The 4,562-nt window shown below is 43.7% G+C and overlaps 1 annotated feature.

Annotated features, from left to right (window-relative positions):
• Positions 561 to 1,145: an enhancer, noted in NCBI's record as "H3K4me1 hESC enhancer chr8:49042982-49043566 (GRCh37/hg19 assembly coordinates)". NCBI's record gives its function as "activates a minimal SCP1, AML or CMV promoter by ChIP-STARR-seq in naive and primed H9 embryonic stem cells {active_cell/tissue: H9 hESC(naive and primed)}" and the evidence as "EXISTENCE:reporter gene assay evidence [ECO:0000049][PMID:30033119]".

A 4,562-nucleotide genomic window follows, 5' to 3' on the forward strand; every position in this document is an offset into this window, starting at 1 on the left:
GCCACCCTGCCCTGCCTATGGGTGAATATTTTTAGGAGAAAAGCACTAAACCTCTCTGATGCATTTGTATAAACTGGATTTGCCTTGTTCCATTTCCCTTTTGCCAACATGATTGTTTTTTCTTTTTAGGGAGAGGTAGAGAAGAAAGAAGAAGCGCTTGTGGGCATCTGAAGTCTGATTAGGCTCCTTGGAGTTGCAAGGAAGCAGCAGCGGCCCAGGCCCCAAAGGCACAGAGAGCTCAAGGCGGAGGAGTTAGCTGGACGCTGTCAAGCTGAGAGCTTCAACTGGGGAGCTTTGAAGATTTGAACAAGACATGAAGAATGTTTTATAGCCTGTGCTTTAGAAGCGCCTATGCTGTGATTTTCCACCACACCAGAAAGGCGCCCAGTGGTTACTTTTCCAAAAGGTCAGAGGGCAAATGGACCGTTCCCCTTAATTCGGCGGGAAAATGCTGCTTGATAAGACACCATAATTCTTGTGCTCACACAGAGGCGATAAGCGGAGATCTGGCGAGGACTGCCTCTTCAGGTGGGCTTCTCTGAGATAACAGAGAAATTTTCCTGCTGTAGTGAATTTTCCTGCTGTAGCTTCTTGGCACCAGGGACATTAATGAGTCACAGGGTGTCTAGGACCCACAAGTACGGGTGATTCCAGGTGACCTCCGCGCAGTGATCCTGGTTTAGGGAGGGGACTGGCAGGACACCGGGCAGCTGAGCGCCCACAGTGGAGGAGGCGGCCCCAGCAGTGGCCAGAAACAAGTTCCCTGAGTTGAAATGGCAGGACTTGGGCTTGAGGTGAGATGGAGGTCAGGAACTAATTGCAGGGTCTCTTCACCATCCCTGGCCTTGTCATTGCCAGCCCTTCCCGATGGCACCCCCTTTCCTCCTCCTCCTTGACATCCCTGAAAATGTTCACTGGGAGCAAATGAAAAAGCTTACGGTGGATGCTGAATATGAGGGTGTCAGCAGCTGCGTCAGGATGTGGCCTGAAGGAGGAGCATTTGGGAGGAGAGGGAGAGAGGCCGTGGAGTGGAGATTCAGAATAGCCTTGCTTCCCCCTTACCCCCAACACACAGTAGGACCTGGCTGGCTAGCAGAGGAAAGCACGCTGGGCCGAGGCCAACGGCAGAATGCGGACCGTGGTGGAGGGTGGCGGCCAGGGGTTGTCCCGCTTCTCCCCCTACTGCTCCTTCCCTGCCCGCCTCTCCCAGTGATGAGCGGCCCAGTCGTGCTCCTTTACTCCCGTGCTCCCACACTTAGGAAATGATAGTGTGTGTTTGGTCCACGGGGCGGGCGTCCCCGGGGGTCGGAAGCAGCTGCCTGAGCGCGGGCCTTGGGAATGGCAGGGAGGTGGCACCCTCCTTCCCCTCCATCAGTTTCAGTGAGAATCAAGTGGTTCCCACGGAGCCTCTCGGTTTCCTTTTATTTTTGTAATTTTGAAAATATGCATAACATGCACTTAACTATGTGTGTAATGCCCGTAGACTCAATTTCCAGTTTAAGTAAAAGGCCACCATCCTGTTTGAGGTCTCTAGGTCCCTCCGGAGCCATCCCTTTCTTCTGTCCCCTCCAAGTACTGTATCCTAAATTTTGTGTTTATCCCTCCCTTGATTTTCTTCACAGTTCTTCCACACGTTTGTTATTTTAAACAACAGCTAGTTTGGTTTTTCTGATTTTTGAGTTTAAAATAAACAGAATCATACTTTATATATTATTCTGTGATTTCTAGTTTCATTCAGTTCTGTGTGTCTCTGAGATTTATCCATGTTTTTTGTGTAACTGTGATTTATCTACTTTCCCTGCCATCTGGATTTTAGTTGAAGGAGTATACCATCCTTTTGTTATGGACATTGGATTGGCGTCTGGCTTTCTGCTACTGCAGAAAGAGCCACTGTGCCCACTCTCTTCCATCTCTTCCTGCACAGACACAGCAGGTCTCCAAGGCCCTTTTTTCCCCAGAGGTTGAGTTGAGGGGTCATAGAGCACATGCCTTCTTCACATTTTCTAGATTCTGCTCGGTTGGTTTCCAAATGGTTTTTTTTTTTTTTTTTCCAAATGGGTTGTAACAATTACTTTCCACTGGGCATGTGCACAGAGTTCCACATCCTTCCCCTTCCCAAGCGCTGGTATTGTCAACGTTAAAATCTTTGCCAGTCTGCTGGGTATGAAATGGTTTCTTGTTGTGGCTGCTAATGAGCTTGTGCGTTTTCATGTACTTAGAGCCGTTTTTTATTTCTCTCTGTGAAGTGTTTTCAAGCCTTTCCCCATTTCATCTCAGAGTTGTTTACTGATACAGTTCTTTATATATATGTTATAGACAATAATCCTTTGTCAGTTACAGATGTGGCAAATATTTTCTCCCAGAGAATTTTTTTTCATTCCCTTTATAAGGTCTTTTTAGAACAGAATTTAAACATTTTAGTTTAGTAGAAATCATCAATCTTTCCCTTTATGTTTTTGCTGCGGTATTTTAAGAAATTCCTCACTGTCTTGATGTGTTCATATTTTGCCTTTTAAATTTTGTGGTTTTTGCTTTTCTCCTTTGTCTTCAATATACTAGAATTGATTTTTGTATATGGTGTGTGCTAAGAATCTAATTTCATTTTTTTCCATAGGTATAATCAATGTCCCACCACCATTTATTGAATAATCATCTTTTCTCTGCTAATCTGCAATACCAGCTTGGGCATACAGAAAACTTCCATTCGTGTGCTGGTCTAGGTCTAGCCTCCATTCTGTTCTCTTTGTCAATTTGTCTGTCTCTAAATAAGTACCACATTATCCTACTTTCTGTAGTTTCACAATGATTTTTGATATCTGTGAGTCAATTCCTTACACCTTATTCTTATTTTAGGAGTGTCTTGGCTATTCTCTGCTTTTTACTCCTATGCATTTTTCAATCAGTTTATCAAGTTTCACAAAAAAACTTGTTGGGTTTCAAATGAAATTGCATTGAATCTATAGATCCACTGGGGAAGAACTAATATCTCTATTATATTTAGTATTTTAATCCACAAACATGATGGCTTATTTCTCTGTTTAAATTCTTTAGAAAGATATTTTAATAAAGTTTTATAATTTTCCTCACAAAAATCTTATTTATCTTTTGTTAGATTTAGTGTTAGTTGTTTTGTATTTTTTTCATGTGTATCTTTTAAAGAATACATTTTCAAACTGTTTGTTACTGGGATATTTTTGCTGAGTTCTAGAGTATATGCATTCTTCACATTTTCTAGATTCTGCTCAGATTTTTAAAAACTTCTTATTTGAAATAATTATAGGTTCACAGGAAGCTGTGAAAATGTATGGGTAGATTCAGTGCTTCCCCCAGTTTCCCCCAGTGGGTACAAGTTTTGTAAACATAGCGCAGAATCAAAGCCAGGACCTGACACTGGTTCGAGGTGTGTGCGGTTCTGTTTATCATGTGGGCGGGTTAGGATAAGCAGCACCAGAGCCAGGCTGGAGCTCCTCCAGCCCCACGACAATCCCACTGTGCCACCCCTTCACCGTTCTCCTTCCACCCCGGCCCCCCATCATCACTCACCTGGGCGCTCGTCTTTTTTCCATTTCTCTAATTTTGTCATTTCAAGGACTTTATATAATGGAATCATACAGCATGTGACTTTTGATATTGACATTTTCCCCTCAGCCTAATGCCCTTGAGACACACCCAAATTGTTGCATGTGTCAAGTGTTAGTTCTTTTTTCTGCTGAGTAGGGGGCCATGGTACAAGTGCATCACAGTTTGTCTAAACATTCACCTGCCGTAGGACATTTGAGTTGTTTCTAGTTTTTGGCTATCACAAATAAGGCTACCATGAACAATTGTGTAGAATCTTTTGTGTGGGTATACATCTTCATTTTTCTGGTACGAATGCTCAGGATTGGTGGTATGATAGGTATATCTTTCTTAATTTTTTTTTTTTTTTTTGAGACAGAGTGTCACTCTTGTTGCCCAGGTTGGAGTGCAATGGCGTGATCTCTGCTCACTGCAACCTCCGCCTCCCAGGTTTAAGCGATTCTCCTGCCTCAGCCTCCCGAGTAGCTGGGATTACAGGCACATGCCACCATGCCTGGCTAATTTTGTATTTTTAGTAGAGAAAAGGTTTTACCATGTTGGCCAGGCTGGTCTCGAACTCCTGACCTTAGGTGATCTGCCTGCCTCAGCCTCCCAAAGTGCTGGGATTACAAGTGTGAGCTGCCGTGCCCAGCCAGGTATATCTTTCATTTGTGAAGAAACTGCTGATTGGTTTTCTGAGTGACTCTACCCTTTTACATTTCCACTAACAATGTATAAGAGAACCAGTTTTTATGTATCCTCACCAGTGTGTGGTATTGTCACTATTTCTAATTTTAGCTATTGTAATAGTTGTGTGGTGATTCTCATTGTGTTCTTTTCCTTTTCTTTTTTTTTTTTTTTTTTTTGAGACAGCCTCACTTTGTCACCAAGGCTGGAGTGCAGTGGCATGAACATGGCTCAGTACAGCCTCGACCTCCTGGGCTCAAGTGATTCTCCTGCCTTAGCCTCCTGAGTAGCTGGAACCACAGATGCATGCTACCACG

This window comes from Homo sapiens, chromosome 8 (assembly GCF_000001405.40).
Source record: "Homo sapiens chromosome 8, GRCh38.p14 Primary Assembly".
In the NCBI taxonomy this organism is placed as follows: domain Eukaryota; kingdom Metazoa; phylum Chordata; class Mammalia; order Primates; family Hominidae; genus Homo; species Homo sapiens.